General features: G+C 41.7%; 1 protein-coding gene across 1 annotated transcript in view; it reads left to right on the plus strand.

The window, feature by feature from the left end:
* DGAT2L6 (diacylglycerol O-acyltransferase 2 like 6) overlaps window positions 1–23,981 on the plus strand; it is a 28,222-nt gene extending 4,241 nt beyond the window's left edge. Inside the window, exons 2-7 of the mRNA NM_198512.3 lie at window positions 17,548–17,658; window positions 18,089–18,159; window positions 18,532–18,736; window positions 20,167–20,341; window positions 22,582–22,793; window positions 23,229–23,981. Coding sequence (NP_940914.1) covers window positions 17,548–17,658; window positions 18,089–18,159; window positions 18,532–18,736; window positions 20,167–20,341; window positions 22,582–22,793; window positions 23,229–23,383 — 929 coding nt within the window. The 3' untranslated portion in view covers window positions 23,384–23,981. The remainder of the gene's footprint in view (window positions 1–17,547; window positions 17,659–18,088; window positions 18,160–18,531; window positions 18,737–20,166; window positions 20,342–22,581; window positions 22,794–23,228) is intronic.

A 24,185-nucleotide genomic window follows, 5' to 3' on the forward strand; every position in this document is an offset into this window, starting at 1 on the left:
ACTGTGGTGAGTGAAAGAGCCATGACAAAGTGATATTAGGGTATCGGAATAAGAAATTATTACATAAGTTGAACAGATCAGGGGAGACAGGAAAGGGAATCACCGTGGAATGGCAAACAGGACATGAGTTCTGGAGTTCATCAGACTTAGATGGCAATTAGCTATGTGACTCCAAGCAAGTACTGCAATCCCTCTAAGTCTCAGTATCCCCATCCTCTCAGTCTGGTCCATGGGAAATGCTCCTACAGAAATGTCTGCCTTCCTCCCTTCCTTCCTCCTCTTCTTTCTCGCCTATCTTTCCTTCCTCCTTTTCTTTCTCACCTTCTTTCCTTCCTTCCTTCTATCTTGCTCAGAGCCTCCCTCAGTGCTTCCCCTCCTTCCCAAATGATGTTCAGAATCATAGCTGATTACTGAGCATTACTGGAAGTAATGGGGAGGAAATAGAGAAAATGGAGGAAAGGCAGAGGGACAAGAAGGAAGGAGGAAGCAAGAAGAGAGGAACGAGAAAATGGCTTGGAGGAGATTTGGAACACAAATATTCATGTCCTTAAAATTAGGCTGTGGCTCTGACAGCCCCTCTGAGAGCCAGCTTTCATTCAGAGGATGGCTTTCCCTCATCTCTTCCGGGCTTGTATCACCATCCCCCTAAACTATCTCAATATCCTTTTTCCTGATCGTCTAACCTCTGATCTCCACCCTCTCCAATCTATTCCAGTGCTTACTTCTGGAGGTCTTTCAAAAGCATCTTTTTTTTTTTTTTTTTTTTTTTTTTTTGAGACGGAGTCTTACTCTGTTGCCCAGGCTGGAGTGCAGTGGGGCAATCTCGGCTCACTGCAACCTCTGCCTCCCGGGTTCAAGCAATTCACCTGCCTCAGCCTCCTGAGTAGCTGGGATTACAGGTGTGTGCCACCACACCCAGCTAATTTTTTGTTTGTTTGTTTTTGTTTTGAGGCAGAGTCTCGCTCTGTCGCCCAGGCTGGAGTGCAGTGGCGCGATCTCGGCTCACTGCAAGCTCCGCCTCCCGGGCTCACGCCATTCTCCTGCCTCAGCCTCCCGAGTAGCTGGGACTACAGGTGCCCGCCACGATGCCCGGCTAAGTTTTTTGTATTTTTTTAGTACAGATGGGGTTTCACCGTGTTAGCCAGGATGGTCTCGATCTCCTGACCTTGTGATCCGCCTGCCTCGGCCTCCCAAAGTGCTGGGATTACAGGCGTGAGCCACCGCGCCCGACCATTTCTTTTGTATTTTTAGTAGAGACAGGGTTTTGCCACGTTGGCCAGGCTGGTCTCGAACTCCTGACCTCAGGTGATCTGCCCTCCTCAGCCTCCCAAAGTGCTGGGATTACAGGCGTGAGCCACCGCCTCAAAAGCATATTTGATTACATCCCTCTCCTGCTCAAAAATAGTCAGTGGTTTCCCATTGCCTAAGTGATGATGTATAAAGGTATCAGACTGGGCATTCAAAGCCCTCCTCCATTCTCTGGTGTTAACCCCTTGCCAGCTCGTCCTCCTACTCTTCCCTACGTGATTGCCTTGCGTTCCAGGCAATCTATTCACTAAACAAACAGGAAATGTACTCTCCCACTCCTTCACCTCTGCTCCCACTACTCCCACTACTCCTGCCAGTGGAAAGATGGCATGATAGCTCTTCCTGGACTATCCAGGGACAGCGCCTCCTTTTAGATATTACTCAAGTCATATCTTCTCTGTAACATTTTCCAGACAACCCAAGACTATATCGCCTCTGAAAGTCTAGAGCATTTTGTAAGAATGGCTGGGTAGCAGCCATTATATCTTTGGTGCCCTCTACCCAATAAGCTCCATGAGAACAGGAGCCCTTTCTTATCATTATTATATTTCATGCAAGACCAAGCTTGACACTAACTTGAAGGTCTTCCAGATTTCTTCTTCCTCAGCAGAAATCTTTAAATTCACTCTTATTCTTTTTTCTCTCCCTTGGACATCCTTTTTGGGTGTGTGGGCCTGCCCTCTTTCTCTGGTTTCTGGTACTGTAAAAAATAGAACAGGTTGGGTGCAGTGGCTCATGCCTGTAATCCAAATATTTTTGGAGGCCGAGGTGGGAGGATCGCTCGAGCCTGGGAGTTTGAGACCAGCTTGGGCAACACAGTGAGACTCCATCTCTACAGAAAAAAAAAAAAATCAAAAAATTAGCCAGGCATGGTGGTGCATGCCTGTGGTCCTAGCTATTGTGCAGGCTGAAATGGGGGGCTCCTTTGAGCCTAAGAGGTAAAGGTTAGAGTGAGTTGTGATCACGCTATTGCACTCTAGCCTGGGTGACAGAGTGAGATCCTGTCTCAAAATAAATAAATAAAAATAGAACATAGTCTTCAGACCAGTTCTGTCACTTACTTGCTATGAGACCTTATGCAAGTGAGTCTCTGTTATTTTCTATGTGACCTTGAGCAAGTAAGTCATTCACCCTGTACCATAACAGAAACAGCATAGTACCTGCCTCTCAAGACTGTTCCAGAGATCTTTGAGGTGAGAAAATCCTCAATACATGTTAATTTTCTTCCTTTTAACTACCGAAATTGACTACTTGGAGCCCAACCACCACACCTGATAAGATACTACCAACCTTGTCAATCTTGCCACTTGATCAAGAGAGGAGTGACAACCACTCCTCTGAGGCAGACACCTTAGACACTGACTTTATTACATCTTCAGGAAGAATAATGATAACTAAAGCAGATACAGGCTTTTTCTTTTTCTTATTTTCTTTCTTTTTTTTTGGAGACAGAGTCTTGCTCTGTCTCCCAGGCTGAGGCTGGAGTGCAGTGGTATGATCATAACTCACTGCAGCCTCGAACTCCTGGGTTCAAGCGATCCTCTTGCCTCAGCTTCCCGAGTATCTGGGACTACAAGTGTGCACCACCATGCTTGGTTAATTTTTAAATTTTTTTGTAGAGACGAGGTCTCACTATGTTGCCTGGGTTGGTCTCGAACTCCTGGACTCCAGGGATCCTCCTGCCCTGGCCTCCCAAAATGCTGGCATTACAGGAGTGAGCCACCATGCCTGGCCTAGACTTTGATGCATTCCCAGCATTCCCACATACCCCATCACGGCATCTTTCATTAATCCCCTTCCATCACCCCAGCATCAACTCAGCTGCGTTGGGCTGAAAAATTCTACCTCCTTGGTGACTTTCAAATTGGTATGTGAAATAGTAGCCTATTTCAGGTTCCCATTGGCTTTCATCTGAATGCCAAAACTCTTAGCTGATCTCTTTGCCTATAGTTTCTCTTGCTCTCACAGTTATTCCAGATTATCTTCCTGAAACAGACACGATCATGCTACTCTTCTGCTCTCTGCTTACTAACCTTTACTGGCTATTCATTTCCTTCAGCATCAGGCCTAATCTCTCCAGTTTCCTTCCCAGCTTCATCTCCTGTACCACGGCTTCCTTAGGCTGCCTGTGTTTTTGCAGGTAATGATGTTACTCCCAGGCCTTGGACTCTCCCATCTCCTGGACTTTGTTCAGGCTCTTCTTTGTGCATGGAGGACCCTTCCTCTACCAATCCATCTGACAAAAATCCTACCTTTCCTCCAAAATTCAACTTTGAACCTTATCTTTCACAAGAAACCCAGAGCTTCTCCAAGACAGGAATTTTGTTTTCCACACGTATTAATGTGAGTTAATACACATGAGGTACTTAAAATAGTTATTGGCACATAATGAATGCTATCTACTTTTTTTCCTACAGCTTGGAGTAAAGATACATGATCTCTCTGATTCTTAGTTTCTTCATCTGTAAAACGAGATAATAAAATTATCCACCTATGAGGACTGCAAGAACATTAAATGAGATAATATACATTAAGTGCTGAACAGAGTGCTGTTTCACAACAAATGGTCAATACATGGTATCAAGGACCATGCTTGCATTATTTTCATCATTTCCATATTTACTCCTTTCACCCTCCCCTTTCCAGTTCCCAACCCTGTCCCCATGGCTTTTAACATAGAGATTTCATATGAGGTAGGCTCATCAATGTTTACTGAATTATTAAATTACCTGTCACTCCTACAAGTTCTTATATTTATAGTTTATTTGGATCCAACAAGTAATCACAAAGCCACAGAAATTCCTCTTTGACAAACTACTTTTGTTTTTTTTTTGTTTTGTTTTTTTGTTTTTTTTTTTTAAATTTCTGAAGGCATTGAGCCAACTGACTAGATTAGGCAAGCATTGCCAACATTCAGATTTAGGTCATTGCCCCGAAACATGAAACATAATGTTTTCACCCATAAGAATTATAGGTTTTCACCTTACACTGGAAATAACTCGTTGCCTATATCCTTACACACACATGCACACCTTATAACTTCAGATAGCCTTTCCTTGTTTGGAATACGGTTTCTCTTCCTATTAACTTTCACCTGCAACTTGGAGAATTGTGAAATTGAACTTCTTCCTTTACTATAATTCAATGTAATGAACATTTATCATAAGCTATCTCTCTGTGTTTGGCACTGTGCTAAAGGCCAAACTTACTGTCTGATAGGGAGAGAGACAGACATATGAGGTACTAATTACACCATCAAACAAAATGAACCAGAACCAGAAAGAAGCACGAGTAATGTCTTGGGAGTGTGCAGAAGAGGGAGTCCTCAATTCTGACCGGGAGATGAGCAAAGATATCACAAGGAAGTGTCATTTGAGCTAAACCATAAAGCCTGAGAGAATTTTGATAAGCAGAAAGTTGGAAAGAGAGTAATAAAAATAAGGGAACAGTATCATCAAAGGCACAGAAATGTGAATTACATGGTGAGTTGAGGGAATGGGAAGTAGACAAAGGTGGTCGGGCCCGTTTCCCATACTTTAGCCATTTGTGTCCCATCTTCTGGCTCTTTCCACAGCTGTGTACCACCTATGCTATTATTACTTAACATACTTTTCCTTCAAATTAAGTCATCTCTGTAGCCTAAATTAATGTATTTTAACAGGAAATTTTATATCGCTACCATGAATTTGCTTTTATTCTCTATGCATTAAAATAACTTTTTATCCATACACCACCTTGGATCATCTAATGTCCCTACAGGGCATGGGAACACTAGGCTACGAAACACTTTGAGAAATACTAGGCTGCAGCATAAGGAATGTGAGTACGGCTACTGAGAGATGAGGCTAGGAAGACACGTGGGGCTAGGCCAGTGAGGGCCTTGAATACCAAGCCAATGTGTTCAGACTTTATTCTGTCAGCAGTTGGAAAATATTGATGGTTTTGGAGGAAGCAAACAACATTATGTGATTGTGCTTTTTAAAAATTTCTGGCAGAGGTGTGGGAAATGGATTGGAGGGGAAGAAACCCATAGCTGAAGGGCAGACAAAAGGCTGCAGTCCAGACTAGAAAAAAATCAAGTCCTGGACCATAGCAGTAGCAATGGGGACAGAGGCAGGAAGACGGATAGGAGAAGTTTTTTGTTTGTTTGTTTGTTTGTTTGTTTGTTTGTTTGGAAAGGGAAAGAAGTCAAAGATGGCCTAAAAATATTGAACCTATGACATTTATCTTGAGGCCTGAAAGATGAATAGGAACTAGCCAGACACAGAGCTGAAGAGAGAGTTTTCCAGGCAAAGGGGACCGCAGGCAGAGAAGCCCTGAAGCTAGAGAGCACTTGAAGGAGCTGAAAAAAATAGCATGGTGGAATGCAAAGAACAAGGTGGTGGCCAGAGACTAGATCACCAAGATCTCCTAACCCTTCTAAGCCAGGGTTAGGAGACTGGACTTGATCCTAAGGGCCACAGGAAACCATATTTATTGTTGAATTGTTAAATTACCATATACTCCCACAGGTTCTTATATTTATAGTTAACTTAGATACAGTAAGTAATCATAAAGCCACAGATATGCCTCTTTGATAAACCAGCCATGTCCTTGGCTACATGCTATAGATTGATAGAGACAGACTTGCATTTAATGCACTGGCTGCATCATGGCTCAAATGGAAGCAGGCAGCCTATTTAGAAGACACTGGTAGTCATCCAGGTGAGAGATAATGGTGGCTTTGACCAAGTGGTAGCATGGAGGTGGGAAATAGAATAATTTGAAAGATATCTGGAAGGCAGAACTGGCAAGAATTGGTAAATGACTAAAGGGAAGTAACAGCTAGAGCTTAGTGGTTAAGGGTACAGTCTCTGGGGTAAGACAATCTTGGTTTTCAGCCCTGGCCACTCACCTGCTAGCTGTCTAATCTTGGAACAATGTAATCACTCTGAACCTCAGGTCCTCATCCACAAAATGATAATGATTACTGTTCTCATGGGGTCTTTATGAAGATTAAATAAACTATGCCATGTGAAACAGTTTTACATGATAAGTGTACAATAGATATTGGCTATTAATCTATGGGCTAAGTGAGCAAGTGAGAGGAATCAGAGATGATTTGAAGAAAGGACCCACTTAGGTCATATTGGTACCATTTTTAACTTAAGCTAGTAATCATTAGCAATTTGAGGCTGTACAGGTTTAACTTTTTTTAAAGTCAGGATCAGGGATAAAGAGTGACATTATGTAATGATAAATGGGCTGATTCACCAAGAAAACAACTATCCTAAATGTGCATGCATCAAATGATAGAACTGCAAAATATATGATGCAAAAACTGATGGTGCTGAAAAGAAAAATAGACAAATTAGCAATTATATTTGGAGACCTCCTTGACAACTACAATCAATCAAAACTCACCTAACATGAAATAAATAACCCATCACTATAATCTTAATTTTAGAAGGTTAGAAACCTTCCAAAAAGAGATTTTCAGACCCAGATGGTTTCAACAGCAAATTCTACAAACATTTTACAGAAAAAATATCACGAATTCTATGCAATCTCTGCAAGAAAGCTTAAGAGAAAGGAACATTTCCCAACTCATTTACGAGGCCACATCCTGATACCAAAATCAGACAAAGATAGTACAAAAAAGGAAAAGAAAACTACAGACTAAGATCCCTCATATATATAAATGAAAAAAGCAACAAAATATTAACAAATTGAATCCAGCAATACATTACAAAGAGTAATGCACCATGACCAAGTGGCCTTTATCCAGGAAGGCAAGTGTAAATATTTGAAAATAAATCAATGTAAACTACCATACTAACCATCTAAGCATGAAAAAACCCCATGTAATCATATCAATTGACAAACTTCAACATGTAATCATGATAAAATCTCTCAGCAAACTAGGAATAGAAGGGAACTTCCTCAACCTGATAAAGGGCATCTACAAAAAAAAAAAAAAAAAAACCCTACAGTTAACATCACACTTGATCATGAAAGATGAAATGCTTTCTCCCTAAGATTAGAAACAAAGCAAGGATGTCCACTCTCACCACTTGTATTCAACGGTATGCTAAAAGCCCTAGCAAATGCAATATGGCAAAAAGAAAAAAAGAAATAAATGCATACAGATCGGAAAAAAAGAGAAATAAAACTGTCCTTACTTGTAGATGACATGATAGTATGTATGGAAAATCCCAAGGACTCTACTTTAAATAAAACAAAAACCTCCAAGCACTAACAAATGAGATTAGCCAGTCACAGGATACAAGATCATGCATAAAAATTAATCACATTTCTATATACTAGCAGAGAAGAATTGAAAATAGAAATTTTAAAAAAAATACCATTTAAATACCTTCAAAAATAAAATGTTTGGGAATAAATCTAGTAAACCATACAGGATTCATAGGCTAAAAACTGTAAAATGCTGATGAATAAAATAAAAGATCTAAATAATTAGAGACATACCATGTTCACAGATTGGAAGATTCAACACAGTAAAGATGCCAATTCTCCCCAGATTGATCTATAAGTATAATGCAATTCAAGTAAAAATCACAGTCAGGCTATATTAGGTAATAGTTTCGCATAAATATTAAATTTCCCAAATTTGGTAATAGCATTGTGGGTGCTATAAGGGAAGAGAATATCGTTTTTCTTGCAAAATACACGCTAAAAACTATTTAGAAGCAAAAGGTTGTAATCTCTGTGATGTATTCTCAAATACAAACATATATGTATATACTTACATTTTTACATTTAAAGATAAATCAAACGTAAAATGTTGACAATGGGTAGATGTAGATGAAGATTAAACAAGACTTTATTAAAATAATCTTGTTTTTTCAAAATAAAAAGTTTAATTAAAAAACCTCCATCAAGAGTTTTTGTAGCAATAAACAAGCTGATTCAAAAATTTATATAGAAAAACAAAGAAACTACAAATAATTAAAACAATTTTGAGAACGAATAAAGTTAAAGGAATTATACCATCTGATTTTGAGACTTAGTATAAGACTAGAGCAATCAAGACAGTGATGTATTTGTGAAGGAATAGATATATTGATCCACAGAACAGAAAAGAGTCAAGAAATAAACACATGAATATGGTCAATTGATTTTTGACAAAGATGAAAAAGCAATTCCATGGAGGATGAATAAGTCTTTTCAAGGAACGGTGTAGGAAAATTTGATGTCCATATGTGGCAAAATGAATCTTGACCCAAACTTCAGGCTCTATAAAAATTAACTCAAGTATGACATCAACAAGATGGTGAATGGGAAGTCCATCACATCTCTCCAGAGCAACAAGAATCTGGCAGCCATCCATGGACCAAAGTACCTTTGTGGGAATTTTGGACCCAGGTAGGATGTTGCAAAACTCTAGTAGAGTCCAACACCAAGGAAGGCTGTTTTGAGAGGGCAGGCCCACACCCAGGCTTGTTGACTGTGGTGAAGGTTACAGACCTGGAAATAGCCTCATCCCCCTGTAAACTCAGCTACAATGCCATTTGGTCATGATTCTGCCACCAAAATCATCTTCCAAGGCATCCAGGAGGAGTCACAACCATCTGTGCCTCAAGTTACAGGACTGCCAATCTTGGTCCCAGCAGTATACCCTGAAGCAGCCTTATAACTCAGCTCTGGTCACACTCTGCTGTGGTATGGGAGCAATTATGCCTTCCCAGGGGCTTGCTGGGAGTCATGCCTGTCTGTGCCATAGGAAGCAAGCTTGCTAACCTTGGTATCACAGCAGATCCTGAAACAGCCCTGTAACTTGGGTCCAGCTCCATTCAACTGTACAGGGCAGTCCTGTCCACCCAGGAACCTGGCAGGAGGCACACCTGTCCATGCCCATGGAGGCAGGCCCGCAGGCCTCAGTCTTGGCTATAGACCTTGAGGCAGTTCTATGACTTGGTTCTAGCCCTTCTCAGCCACAGTCCCGGGCCTGTCCTGCCTGCCCAGGGACCCACCCAGTGACCTAGCAGAAGCCCCCCCATAAACCTGCTGAAATCACTCTATAAAGACTGATTTGCTCCTTCAAATGCACAGAAACCAGTGAAAGGCTATACAAATAACAAATAATCCAGCAAACATGACATCATGGAAGAAAACTAGTATAATTCCAGTAACAGCCCAAATAAATGGAGATCTATTAAAGGCTTGAAGAAGAATTCAAGATAATCATCCTGAAGTGCAGTGAGTTGTAAGAGAACACAGACAACTGAACAAAATCAGAAAAACAACACATAAATGAGATGAGAAGTTTAATAAAGAAATAAAAACCACAAAAAGGACCCAAACAGAAATCCTGGAGCTGATGTATACAATGACAGAACTGAAAACTAAAAGAAAGAGTTTCAATAGCAGACTTGATCATGCAGAAGAAAGAAATGGGTAACACAAAGATAGGTAATTTGAAATTAGCCAATTAGAGAAACAAAAAAAGAAAAAAAATGAAAATGAGTGAAGAAAGCATAAGGAACCTATGGGACACAATAAGCAAATGAATCTACTAATTATGGGTGTCCCATAATTTAGGAGAAGAAAAAGAGAGAGAAAGAAACAGAAAGATTATTTCAAGAAATAATGGTTGGAAACTTCACAAATCCTAGGAAAGAAATGGACATCAAGATTCATGAAGCTCAGAGGATCCCAAGCAAGATCAACTCAAAGAAGAATATCCTGAAGCACATTATAATCAAATTGTCAAAAGTCAAAGACAACAGAGAATATTGAAAGCATTAAGAGAAAAGAGTCTCACCACATACAAGGGAACCTCATCAGCAAACTTCTCAGCAGAAATCTTGCAGGCCAGGAGGGAGTGGGATGATACATTCAAAGTGCTAAAAGATGAAAAAACTGCCAATGAAGAATACTATAACCAGCAAAGTGGTCATTCATAAATGAAGGAACAATAAAGACATTCTCAAAGCCAGGCATGGTGGCTCATGTCTGTAATCCCAGCATGTTGGGAGGCTGAGGTGGGAGGATTGCTTGAGGCCAGTTTGAGACCAGCTGGGGCAACATAGTGAGACTCTGTCTCTACAAAAATAAAAATAATAAAATTACCCAGGCATGGTGATGTCCAGCTACTTGGACTTCCAGCTACTTGGGAAGCTAAGGCAAGAAGATCGCTTGAGCCCAGGAGTTCAAACTTCAGTGAGCTATGAGCATGCCACTGCACTTCAGCATAGGTGACAAAATGAGACCCCATCTCTAACAACAAGAAAAAAAGACATTTCCAGACAAATAAAAGATAAAGGATTTCATCACGACTAGACCTACCTTACAAGAAATGCTAAAGAAAGGTGTTTAAGTTGAAATGAAAGGATACTAAATAACAACATTAAAACATATAAAAATATGAAACTCACTGGTAAAGGTAAATATATCATCAAATCCAAAATACTCAGAATACTGCAATGGTAGTGTGTAAATCACTTTTAACTTTATATCTTTTTATATCATGTATCCATTAACAAATTATTGTAGCTGTAGTTATTTTTAGTACTTTCGTCACTTATGTTAGAGTTAAAAGTGGAAATCAAAAAGTATCTTGAGGCAAATGAAAATGGAAACACATCATACCAAAACTTATAGAATGCAGCAAAAACAGTTCTAAGGGGAAAGTTTATCATGATAAATACCTACATAAAGAAAAAAGGAATGTCACAAATCAATAACCTAACTTTACATCCCATGAAACTAGAAAAAAAAGAATAAAATAACCCTAAGATAAACAAAAGTAACAAACCCTTAGCTAAACTAACCAAGGAAAAAAGAGACACAATATCAAATAAATAAAATCAGAAATAAAAGAGAAGACATTACACCTGATGACACAGAAATATAAAGGTCATAAAAGACTACCATGAACAATCATATGCCAACAAATTGGATAACCTAGAAGAAATGCATATGTTTCTAGACACATACAACCTACCAAGAATAAATTATGAAGGAAGAAAATCTAAACAGATCAATGACAAATGAAATTTAATCGATAATCAAAAACCTCCTAACAAAGAAAAGCCCAGGACCAGACAGCTTCCTAGGTGGTCAGTAGTTCAAGACCAGCTCGGCCAACATGGTGAGTTTGAGACCAGCCTGGCCAACATGCTGAAAATACAAAAATTAGCCAGGCATGGTGGCGTGCTCCTGTAGTCCCAGCTACTCGGGAGGCTGAGGCACGAGAATTGCTTGAACCAGGGAGCAGTGAGCCGAGATCGCGCCATTGCACTCCAGCCTGGGCAACAGAGTGAAAGTGTGTGTCAAAAGAAAAAAAAAAAAAAGGATTAATGTCAATCCTTCTCCAACTCTTCCAGAAAACTGAAAAGGCAGGAGCACTTCCAAACTCCTTTTACAATGCAAGCACTACCCTGATACCAAAGCTAGGCAAGGATAGTCCCAGAAAAGAACATTACAGGCCCATATCCCTGATGAACATAGATGCAAAAAATCCTCAACAAAATACTAGCAAACCAAATTCAACAGCACATTAAAAGGAGCGTACACCACGATCAAGTGGGATTTATCCCTGGGATGCAGGGGTGGTTCAACATGCATATGTCAATAAATGTAATATACCACATTAAGAGAAGAAGAATAAAAATCATAAGATCATCTCAATAGGTGCAGAAAAAGCATTTGACAAAATTTAACATCTTTCCATGATAAAAACTCTCAGCAAATTAGACATAGAAGGAATGGATCTCAACATAATAAAGGCCATATATGAAAAGTCCACAGCTAACATCATACACAATGGTGAAAAGCTGAAAGCTTTTCCTCTAAGATTAGAAACAAGGCAAGGGTGCTCATTCTGCCATTTCTATTCAACACAGTACTGGATGTCCTACCAAGAGCAATTACACAAGAAAAAGAAATAAAAGGCATCTAAATTGGAAAGAAAAAAGTTAAATTGTCTCTGTTAGCAGATGACATAATCTTATATAGAAAACCCTAAAGCCTCCACCAAAAAATTGTTAGAACTAATAGATGAATTCAGTAAAGTGTCAGGATATAAAATGAACATACAAAAATCAGTTGCATTTCTATACACTGACAATAAACTATCCAAAAAAGAAATGAAGGAAAACAATTCAATTTACAATATCACTAAAAGGAATAAAATACTTAGGAATAAATTTAACCTAGGAGGTGAGAGATCTGTATACCAAAAACTGTAAGACATTGAAAAAAATCGAAGAAGCCACAAATAAGTTGAAAGATATCCTGTGTTCATGGACTGGAAAAATTAACATTATTAACATGTCTATACTACTCAAAGTGAGCTATAGATCCAATACAATCCCTATGAAAATTCCAATGACATTTTTAAAAGAAACATAAAAAAATCCTAAAATTTGTATGAGACAACAAAAGACCCTGAATAGCCAAAGTAATCTTGAGAAAGAAAAACAAAGCTAGAGGCATCACACTTCCTGATTTCAAACTATATTACAAAGCCATAGTAATCAAAACACTATGGTACTGACATAAAAACAGACACAGAAACCAATGAAATAAGATAGATAGCCCAGAAATAATCCCATGCATTTATAGTCAACTAATCTTTGAAATGGGTCCCAAGAATACACAATGGGAAAAGGATAGTTTCTTCAATAAATGGTGTTGAACTAGACATCCTCATGCAAAATAATGAAACTAGACTCTTACCTTATGACATACACAAACATTAACTCAAAATGGATTAAAGACTTAAATGTAAGACCTGAAATCACTAAACTCCTAAAAGAAAATATAGGGAAAAAGCTCCTTGACATTGGCCTTGACAATGATTTTTTGGATATGACAACAAAAGCACAGGCAACAAAAGCAAAAATAAACAAGCAGGAGTACCTCAAACTAAAAATCTTCTGCCTAGCCAAGGAAACAATCAACAAAATGAAAAGGCAACCCACAGAATGGAAGAAAATATTTGCAAACCATATCTCTTATAAGGGGTTAATCTCTAAAATATATAAAGAACTCATACCACTCAATAGAAAAAAATAAAATAACATAAACTTTTTAATAGGCAAAGGACTTGAATAGACATTTTTCCAAAGAAAACATACAAATAGCCAAAGGGTATATGAAAAGGGGCTCAACATTATTAGTCATCAGGGAGCTGCAAATCAAAACCACAGTGAGATATCACCTTACACCTGTTAGGATAGCTATTATCAAAAAGACAAATGGTAAGTTTTGGTGAGGATATAGATAAAAGGGAATCTTTGTACACTGTTGGTAGGTATGTAAATTGTTACAACCAGTATGGAAAATAGTGGGGAGTTTCCAACAGTAATGAAATTAGTGTCTTGAAGAAATATCTGCACCCCCATGTTCACTGCAGTATTATTAGTAATAGCCAAGACGTGGGATCGACCTAAGTGTCCACTGGCAGATGAATGAATAAAGAAAGTGTCACACACACACACACACACACACGAATATTATTCAGCCATAAAAAGGAGATCCTGCCATTTGCAATAACATGGATGAACCAGGAGGATACTATGCTAAGTGAAATAAGCTAGACACAGAAAGAAAAATACCATATGATCTCATTAGAGCTGGATGTGGTGTCACATGTTTGTAATCCTAGCTACTCAGGAGGCTGAGGTGGGAGCATCACTTCAGCTCAGGAATTTGAGACCAGCTTGGGCAGCACAGAGAGAACCTGTCTCTAAATATATATATTTGTAAATAAATGTAAATTAAATTCATAGAAGCAGAGAATAGAATGGTGGCTGCCAGGAGCTGGGGCAGAGGGAAAATAAGGAAAAATTTGTCAAAGGGCACAAAATTTCAGTTACAAAAAGAATAATTTCTGGGAATCTAAAGTATAGCAGCATTAATAATACTGTATTATATGCTTGAAATTTGCTGAGTGGATCTTAAGTATCCTCACCTCTAGCCACAAACACACACAAAGGGTAACTATGTATGGTGGTGAATGTATTGATTAATTTGATTGTTGTAATCATCACACAATGTATACCTGTCTCAAATCATCACATTGTGCACATTGAATATACACCATTTTTATTTGTAAATTATACCTCCATAAAACTGGTAAAAATGAACTTGAAGTGTATTGTAGATCTAAATGTAAAAAAAGAAAACTGTAAAATGTTTAGTAGAAAACACAGGGGAGGTCAGGGGCAGTGGCTCACACCTGTAATCCCAGCACTTTGGGAGGCTAAGGCAGGAGGACCACTTGAGACCTGGAGTTTGAAACTAGCCAGGGCAACATAGCAAGACCCTGTCTCTACAAAAAAATACAAAATAAATTGGCTGGGTGTGGTGGCATGCTCCTGTAGTCCCAGCCACTCTGGAGGCTGAAGTGGGGGGATCGCTTGAGCCCAGGAAGCGGAGGTTGCAGTGAGTTGAGCCGAGATCACGCCATGGAACGCCAGTCTGGGTGACAGAACCAGATCCTGTCTCAAAAAAAAAAAAAAAAGAAAGAAAAAAGAAAAAAAAAGAAAAAAGAAAGAAAGAAAAGAAAAGAAAATATAGGGGAAAAATCTTCATGACATGAGGTTAGACAAAGAGTTCTTTCAGTTTGACACCAAAAGCACAATCTATAAAAGAAAAAAAATTAATAAGTTGGGCTTCATCAATATTAAAAGCTTTTGCTGTAAAAAGGACCCTGTTAACAAGAATGAAAAGATAGACACAGATTAGGAGAAAATGTTTGCAAATCACATATCAGACAAAAAAACTTATATCCAAAATGCATAAAGAACTACCGAAAGTCAACAGTAAGAAAACAACCCAATTGAAAAATGGGCAAAAGATTTGAATGGACACTTCACCAAAGAGGATATACAGAAAGCAGACAAGCACATGAAAAGCTGTTACGCATCACTAGCTATTGGAGAAATGCAAGTTAAAATTATGATGAGCTACCAATGCGCATATATTAGTTTTTTTTTCTTCTTTTTTTTTCTTTTCTTTTCCCCCAGTGCACATATATTAGAATGGCTTGGCCATCTTCACTACAAACTAAATTAGGAGCCTACCTATGTGAACTTCCTCTTTGATAACCCTCTCCAAGACGCCTCACTTGAACGTGACAAGAGAAATTGGAACCATCTTCTGGTGTCAAGGCCATAATACCTAAGGGAGTGTCACACATACATAAATGCTTGTTCTTCATCATTCCTTCTTCAGATACCCTTGCTTTATGTCACGGAACTCTTTTTACATGAGACTTAGCTCTTCCACATTTGGCTTCTATTTCTCCTATATCTTTAAATTCCACTTTTGTTACCGTGCACGACACTGATGACACTCGGGCTGGGTCTGGAAGCCTTGCTCTGAAAAAAACGTTCCTCGTCTCCTGCCGGGTCATATCTGCAGTTCCAATAGGTTCCACAAGGGGGATGGTGTTACCCAGGTAAGGGCTCTTAGACCGCCTTTAGGACTGGTGGATGAATGAATCAGATAAAAGGCACACAACTAATCCGTCTATGCTTTTAAAATAACATCACATTTAAATAACACTATACATGCTGACTAAATAGTAATTATCAAGTTTACTACTGAAAAGAGAAAACATTTGCTTATTTCGTTTTCAATTGGTCTACAGATATTTGTTGAACACCTACTGTGTGCCAAGCTCTCTTCTAAATACTGGGGAAACAAACAAAATTTATTTGAAACAAAATATAAAAGAAATGATACACTTAGGCTAACTTTAATTAGTGATTATTCTTATTTAACTTTATCTGAATTTCCTTCTGAAGCTTAACTGGCAAATTTACTCTCCTCTTTGATGAAGGGCATAGATAGCAAGGCTTTTTCTCCATGGCAGGCTTCCCATAAAACTCCTCCCACCACGCTTTCCTGTCTAATTTGAATGCTTACAACAACTATCTCGACCAGTGCTTATGAGGGCAATTCAGCCTATTACAAAGGTTTCTTCTACTCCATAACATGACTTTTTAAAGCACTGTCCACTCAGCCTTTTTCCTGCTATTTTCATTTATGTCCAAAATGCAAGAGACAAAGAACTGGTAGGTAACTCCCGAGTTTCTTCTTCCCTGAAACTTTTATCTGCTATGACATGGTACCTGGTCAAAGAAGTCATTCCCTTAGCTAAGTCTTTTTTTATTCACCATATGTATACTTAGCCCCTCTTTCTCATGAATGCAGATTTTTTAAATGGAATTCATTCGCACTGCTGTAACATGTATCGTGTTTGCAGTTACAGCCTGCTATGGCCATTTGCTAACACAGACTTCCCCTTCTGAACCTTTGTGATACTTTTGAATGGAACAAAATGAACACAGTAAAGTGTTTTTTGTTGTTGTTGTTTTGTTTTTTGTTTTTTTGGTTTTTTAGAGATACTGTCTTGCTTTGTTGCCCAGGCTGGTCTCAAACTCCTAGGTTCAAGCTGTCCTCTCACTTTGGCCTCCCAAATTGCTAAGATTATAGGAGTGAGCCACCGCACCTGGCCTAGTAGGGCAGTTTTGTTGTTGTTGTTGTTGTTTGTTTTGTTTTGTTTTGTTTTTTCAAGACGGAGTCTTGCTCTGTTGCCCAGGCTGGAGTGCAATGGCACGATCTCAGCTCACTGCAACCTCCACCTCCTGGGTTCAAGCGATTCTCCTGCCTCCACCTCCCGAGTAGCACTCCAATCATGTGCCACCATGCCCGGCTAATTTTTTGTATCTTTAGTAGAGATGGGGTTTCACCGTGTTAGCCAGGATGGTCTCGATCTCCTGACCTCGTGATCTGCCTGCCTCGGCCTCCCAAAGTGGAGTGGTTTTTAATCCGTGTTTACTTTTCAGCATCAAACAGCCTGTACACTGCGGGTAACCTCCCTGCTGGAATATGCAGACTTATCAGTTCAGCACAGGAAAGAGGGTCAAGCTTTTAGAAAGAATTTCCAGAGGTCCCAGAATGGGGATTCAGCTACCAGCCCAATGTGCTCTTCTTCCCATTCACCAAGCCGTGCTGTCCTTTGACCTCAACTTCATGGTTCTGCTCTTTCTTCAATTGAGAGTTTGGCCATCAAGGAGACCCAGATCCAGGGGCTTCAGAGGCCTGCCTAGACCACAGCAGAGACAAATGGAGGGCGAGGGGTTGGGGAAGAGGGGAGAAGGAGAGAAGAGTCCCACATCAGCCTAGCCCTGCTCCTGTAGTGTAGAGCAGAGGCCGGGGTTATGAGAAGTATACTAAAACTTGAAGGGAACTGAAAGGCTTGAACCCTTTGTGTCTCCCCAGGAGCTATTCCCATTCTCCTTATACCCTACTTTCTGTTATTCAGTAAGTTCTGGCCCTTGGCTGTGCTCTCCTTAGCCTGGCTCACCTATGATTGGAACACCCACAGTCAAGGTAAGAGACAGGGGCACAATGGTGGTCCTGTTTGGGCCAAGAATGGAAGGACAGGGAGAGGGAGGTGGAGGGAGAGGGGGAGAACCAAGGGTAGGGGAGAGGGGAAGGAAGGGGAGGGAGAAGGGAGAGCAAAGCTCAGCAGGGACAGAGGTCTCTACCAGGTAGCTCAGGAAGAATTATGAGGTTGAGGTCTCTGGGCAGGTGCCCCCAGCTTCAGACTATTTTCCTGTCACCTTTCTGGTCGGCTCTAGAGGAGCAGGGGCTTCCTATGTCTTGGGGATTGGATTCAGGGACAGTACTTACAGTTCTGAGGTGTCAGAAGGAGGCCCCTCACGTGACCTGAGGACTGCAGGCAGAACTCTCCTCCTCTGGGAGAGGTAGAGGGACTGCAATGCCCTGTGTACTCTTCCCTTCCCTTCTGTACCCACAGGTGGCAGGCGTTCAGCTTGGGTACGAAACTGGACCCTATGGAAGTATTTCCGAAATTACTTCCCAGTAAAGGTGACCACTCTTCCTCGGGGTGCCCTCAGTCCCTGTTGCCCAGACCCTTGCTCCCTACTCAGCTCCATGTTTTCAGAGGCTTTGGTGGTCAGCAGCGAAGGTCAAGGCCCCGAGTCATAATGCAAAGCAAGGGCCCAAGATGGATGGGCAGGTGGGGAAACAGGTGGATGGCAGCCTTTCCTTCACTGGCAAACCCAGGTCAGCCTCTCTGACCATCGTGAGCCCTGGCAATCCTATGACAATGATGACAACCTAGTGAACAGGGATTTGGGGCTCCCAGAGGGAAACATAGGCTACCTGCTGGGATTTTAGTCCACACGTGGTTTCTTCCTTCTTTGTAGCCAATGCTCTGACTCAATTTCCCTCTAACAGCTGGTGAAGACTCATGATCTTTCTCCCAAACACAACTACATCATTGCCAATCACCCCCATGGCATTCTCTCTTTTGGTGTCTTCATCAACTTTGCCACTGAGGCCACTGGCATTGCTCGGATTTTCCCATCCATCACTCCCTTTGTAGGGACCTTAGAAAGGATATTTTGGATCCCAATTGTGCGAGAATATGTGATGTCAATGGGTGAGTATAAGAAATAATTAATTCTATTTTTTTACCTACTTCAAAGGTGCAACCCCAATAAGTCCTGACAATCACTACCTGCTTGAAGAGTACATGATAGAAAATAAGTCCAGGACACCCTGGGCCCGTAACAGGAGTATGTGGCTAAGCATTAGTTTCTGTCCAAGATCTAGGGAGCAGGGTTTGATTGGGCAGCAGGGGAAATTATAGGCATTCATAGGAGTCACCAGGACTTTTTTCAGAGGGAGAACCAGAAGGCTGGAATTCAGGACCAATGCCAAAGTGCAAATCGAGGATGAAAGCCAAGAATTAAACACAAATCCAGGGAAAAGCAGGTGTGAATGGGATAGCTCAGGCGAACTTCACCAGGCTCTCTCTAGGATGTCAGCTGGCCTCTTTGGGCCGGTCATTTGTACACCATGGTGTCTTAAAAACATTTTGAAGTCTATCATACTAGCTAAAACCCTCCTGGTCCATGACTTTTATCTCCCTGGAACCCCTTCACACTTGCATAAAATACTAAGGGATAAAGGATAGGAGTTCATCAGAGTATCCAGAACAACTTCCCCATGCTCAGCTTCAAGTCAGGGCACTGTGACAAATGTCTCTCTCTCTGGACAAATAGTCATCCTTCTGGACACCAGAAAACAACTGAAGCCAAACATCCAAAGGTAAGATACATTTCTGTGGAGGGGCCAGGTGGGACCACTAGAGTCCCAGAGGATGCTTCTACTCTGCTCTGAGGTTAGCATGGCCCTGGAGCAGGAATACTTCTCAATGGCTAGAGTCTGGAGGCAATTTCTGCCATCACAGTAGACAATAGAAGGTGAGCGCAGGGCAAAGATGGGAGACAGAAGTGAGAAAGGCTAGATGATTGTTGTTAAACAACAGGGTGTCATTCACATTCCATTATTCATCTACGTTTCAGTTTGGCTTGGTCAGGCTCAGGGGTCTGCCTACTCTCCAGAAACCCCAGCCATTGGCTTCCCTTTGGCAGGTTACTCTTAGGGAGGAAGCAGGTTGGTGGTGGCTAGTCTCGATTACCCCTGGAGGAGAGAACTCTGGAGGATCTCCAGTGTTGTCAGGCTGGGCAGAGTGGAAGATGGCTGTGCTTCATGGGTAGAGAGGGATGAGGTGGGCTTAGATACTATTGATCTGAAATGCAGTAGGCTATGGATGGTAGGAGGCAGAGGAGCTCAGTATAGACCCAACTGCAGAAGCACAGACCCCCAAGGCAAACAGCTGACCCTAAGGACCAATCTTAGGCTAGGGCAGTCATAACCCGGGACACGAAGGTCAGAGACAGAAAGGTGGAAACAGCAATAGTCAGAAAACAGAAGAACTGTCTCCAAAAGGAAGAGCCTGGGAAAACCCCTTACCCCATCCTCAGGAATGAAGTTTTTCTACCACTTGACTCTTTGGTTTCACAGGTGTGTGCCCTGTGAGTAGCTCAGCCTTGAAGTACTTGCTGACCCAGAAAGGCTCAGGCAATGCCGTGGTTATTGTGGTGGGTGGAGCTGCTGAAGCTCTCTTGTGCCGACCAGGAGCCTCCACTCTCTTCCTCAAGCAGCGTAAAGGTTTTGTGAAGATGGCACTGCAAACAGGGTGGGTTCCAAGGTTCTAGTGCTCTGTTGTCAGGGTGCCATAGGCCCTCTGTAGCCCTCTCCAGAATGGTGCCCTCCCTGGGCACCTGTTAGAGGGCCCCCATCTTCACTCTAATTCCTTCTGTCTACCCCCTCACATTGTGCCTTAGGGATGTTTGGGCCTCCAGATACATTTCAGTGGGCACTTTTCTTACTTGAAGTTGGAGAAAGAACAGCAGAAGAAAACCTTTTACTTTCTGCCCATTGGCCTGGTAGGCTGGAGGTCTGGGAAAGCGGGGCTTCACTCTATATCAACCTGTTAACTGAGAGGCCCTAAGAATCTACCAACTGCAAGGGAGGCACTAGCTTTGATACCGTGAGGATCAAAAAGATAAGACATGACCCCAAAGAGCATACAATCTGGTTTGAGAAATAGACCTTATTCATTCAGCAGTTACGGAACACCCACTGTATATCAGGCATAGTACTAGGCATTTAGGATATAAAAGTAAATAAGACCTGGTCCTTGCAAACTCACAGTCCAATATGGAAGAAGACAGACCCATGCACATATAATTACCAAATACCTGCAGAATCCAACCACTTACTACCTAGGCTACCACCCCTTGGTTTACTACCACCATCTCTCCCCTTGGTTGATTACAACACTTCTAACTGCTCTTCCTGTATCTATTCCCACCTCCCCCACCCCAAGAGTCTATTCCCAGCTTCAGCCAGGATGATCCTGTTAAACATGAGTCAGATCATGTCACTTCTCAAAATAATCCAATGGCTCCCATGTCACTCAGAGTAAAAGCCAAAGTCTTTATAGGGGCTTGCAAGACGCGGAATAATCTGGTCTATAGCTGCCTCTCTGTCCTCATCACTCACTTCTCTTCCCACTCTCTCACTCCATCATAGCTATACCGGCCTCTTTGCGGTCCCTCAAGCAGGCCACCCGCTCCTGCTTTAGAGTCTTTGCTTTAGCGGTTCCCTTGGAACACTATTCCTCCAAATGACTGCTTGGCTCATTCCTTTATCTCCTTCAAGTCTTTGCTCAAATGTCTCTTCTCAATACAGTTATCTGACCATCTTGCTCTATTTTTTGCCGGTTACACTTATCTTCTTATAGCTCATCCATTTTATTTATTTGTTTACCAACTATTTTCAATGTTTATTGTCTGTCTTCCTCCCAGAAAAAGTAAACTCCACGAACACAGAATTTTTAAAAATCCATTGTATTCACTGATGCATCTCCAGGGCCTAAAACAGTGCTGGCACATAGAAAGAGCTTAATATTTGTTAAATAAATGGAACACTACAATGGAAATGTGTACAAAGTGCCACGTGAGCACCAATTTATGGAAAGATCTTGACCCAGAATAGAGGTTTCATAGGTGGGTAACATCTGAACTGTGAATTGAAATATTGGTAGGAGTTGCCAGGCAGACCAAAAGGGAGAAAGAACTCAGGCATTCAGTGAGGACCTATGGCATGTCAAGTGCTATGCCAGGGCCTAGGGATTCAAAGATGAATATGACCCAGTTCTTGCCTTTGATTGGCTTGCTGTCTACTGGGGGAGTCAGGCAAGTAAGGAGATGACTATAATACACGGTTGGGGCAGCGTTAGTGTAGAAGAGAGGTAAGCACTAGATGAGGGGTACCTAATCCGCGTTGGGGGAAATGAAGTGGTCAAACAAAGTTGCTTTAAGGGGATGAGATTGGGACTGAGTGCAAAATTGAATGAGCCACATAAAGACAGAGGGAAGAAGGAAGATACTTCCGACAGAGGGAGCAGAATGTACAAAGACACAGAGATGAGAGAGTATGAGGCACACTTAATATGGCTAAGCAGATTGCAAGGAAAGAGTGGGGAAAGGGAAAGCTAGCCAAGGAGGGAAGGCTAGAGCAAAAAGGCCGTAAGGAAGCAGCATGGTGCAAACTGAGGAGCTCTGGAAGAGTTTGAGAGGAGTGGCATGTCCAGATATGCAGTTTACGAAGAACACTCTGCATGCTGGATGCAATGAAGACAGAGCTTTTGAGATTAGTTTCTCCCTATAACAGGACAAGGCAGAGCAGCAGCTCCCTTCAGAGTTCAGTTGGGAGAGTGAGGCATGGCAGGAATGGGACATGAAGATGGAGATGTTTGGGTGCTTGGGTTCTTGTCCTATAATGGGGAGGTTGGAGAGGTTTCCCACCTTGGAGAGGATTTTTCCGGGGATCTTCCTCAGAGAGCTCACACTCCTGCCCCTCTCTTTGCAGGGCATACCTTGTCCCTTCATATTCCTTTGGTGAGAACGAAGTTTTCAATCAGGAGACCTTCCCTGAGGGCACGTGGTTAAGGTTGTTCCAAAAAACCTTCCAGGACACATTCAAAAAAATCCTGGGACTAAATTTCTGTACCTTCCATGGCCGGGGCTTCACTCGCGGATCCTGGGGCTTCCTGCCTTTCAATCGGCCCATTACCACTGTTGGTGAGCTTTCCCTTATCTCCGGATGACCTGTTTCTTCATTCACTTCCCACCCACTTTAAATCATCCATCAAGTCCAGGGGGACCCAACTCACATCTGGGATGGGCAATGGGTGTGGTTAAGAGCAGGGTGGGTAGGACAACTAAACAGATAAGAGTTGTGGCCATTCATGGATGTGACATCAGCATCTGCTACAAGAGCATCACCATTCGCACACATTCTGTCACCACTCTCCTGAGCTTGCTTGCATTCTCTTGAGCATGGGTTTGATTAGATGATCAGAGAACAGGGGCCAGGATGAGACTGGAGCAAAGGGAAAGAAAGAAAGAAGGGGAGGAAAGCCAGATACTGAGTTTCAGTACATGGCTCCCAGTGAGGGATGAGTAGTTTGAGTTGAGGGGGGAACTCTGATGTTTGTCTCTTTTCTTTTTTCATAGTTGGGGAACCCCTTCCAATTCCCAGGATTAAGAGGCCAAACCAGAAGACAGTAGACAAGTATCACGCACTCTACATCAGTGCCCTGCGCAAGCTCTTTGACCAACACAAAGTTGAATATGGCCTCCCTGAGACCCAAGAGCTGACAATTACATAACAGGAGCCACATTCCCCATTGATCAACCCCCAAAGCCATGAGGGATCCAAGTAGAGCCACAGAAAAAGAAGAATTCCAGGAGAGGGAAAGATCGTAAGGATGAGAGAGGAGACCATCCAAGCCAGAAATTATTTAATAAATCAGAGTTCTAGCAATAGAGTCCTCTCCCAAGTGGCTGAGGCAGGCTTAGGGGAAAGAACCAGAGGGGCAGGGGAGGACTGGGGAGGGCTGGCTAGCCAGAGGAGTTGGCTGTATCACCCCTGGTTATTTTAGGGCAACAACCCAGTTGGGGAGTCTTATGAATCATTCCAGCCAACTCTCTGATCACAAAGAATACTGTGCCCCTTTCTCCTAAACCTTAGTTCACCATCACTACGTAGGTTTAGACTTAGAAGCTTTATTTGGAACAGGGATAGTTTGTTTCCTCTTGGTCCTTTCCTTACAACTTGGGAACTGCCACAAGGTAAACCAGGGACCTGAACTGTAGCTGCCTGGTCCAAGCAGACAGGATTCCGTCAGTTGTGATAGAGTTCTAGATTGGCAATGCAGTTACATTGTTTCTTCTTTGAAAATAAAGTTCTAGACATATAAAACAGGATACCACTATTTCCTGATTATTCTGTGGTTCGCTATTGGGCTTCCCTCAAACCTAAGATTTTCCCTTCTGGCCAGAAAGCTGCTCTATGGAGAGCCCTTTTCCTCTTCTTTATTTACCCTTCATACTTCCCCGGACAGAAAAGGTGGGGGAATGGAACCATAGCTGCTGCAAAGTGTAAGAGACAGGAGCAGAAACATGGGAACT

The sequence above is a fragment of the Homo sapiens genome, chromosome X, assembly GCF_000001405.40.
Source record: "Homo sapiens chromosome X, GRCh38.p14 Primary Assembly".
Classification (NCBI taxonomy): domain Eukaryota; kingdom Metazoa; phylum Chordata; class Mammalia; order Primates; family Hominidae; genus Homo; species Homo sapiens.